The sequence below is a fragment of the Homo sapiens genome, chromosome 16 (assembly GCF_000001405.40).
Source record: "Homo sapiens chromosome 16, GRCh38.p14 Primary Assembly".
NCBI lineage: Eukaryota > Metazoa > Chordata > Mammalia > Primates > Hominidae > Homo > Homo sapiens.
Window position 1 is genome coordinate 4,313,597 of NC_000016.10, and position 585 is coordinate 4,314,181.

Consider the following 585-nt stretch of genomic DNA (forward strand, 5'->3'; position numbering starts at 1 on the left):
GCCAGGCTGGTTTCAAACTCCTGACCTCAAGTGATCTGCCTGCCTCAGTCTCCCAAAACGTTGGGATTACGGGCGTGAGCCACCACGCCCAGCCAATTTTTAAAAAATATAATAGAGACTAGGTGGGAGGTGGGGGTCTTGCTATGTTGCCCAGGCTGGTCTCCAACTCCTGGCCTCCAGGGATCCTCCCACTTCGGCCTCCCAAAGTGCTGGGCTTACAGGTATGAGCCACCGCGCCCGACCGATAAACATTTTTGCTAACAGATTTAAACTAGCGTCTCCTGTACCTTTTTTCTACACACCTCGACCCCAGGGCTGCAGTTCTGCCTGCCTGAGGTCGGATGCGGTCGGCTGCAGGGCAGGGCTCCGGGCTGAAGCGCAGCGATTCCCGCCGCCGTGAGGGGGCGCTCTGCGGGCCTCGGCCTCGGCCCTTCCGGACGCCCGCACAGGTCGCCGGACCCAGAGAGTCGGCCCTTAATAGCCCCCTCCTGGAAGCGCTAGGTCCCGAAACTGGCCTTCCCCCGGGGCCCATCTCCCGGCTAATGTTTAACCCGGCCACACTCCACATTATCCACACTCAGGAGA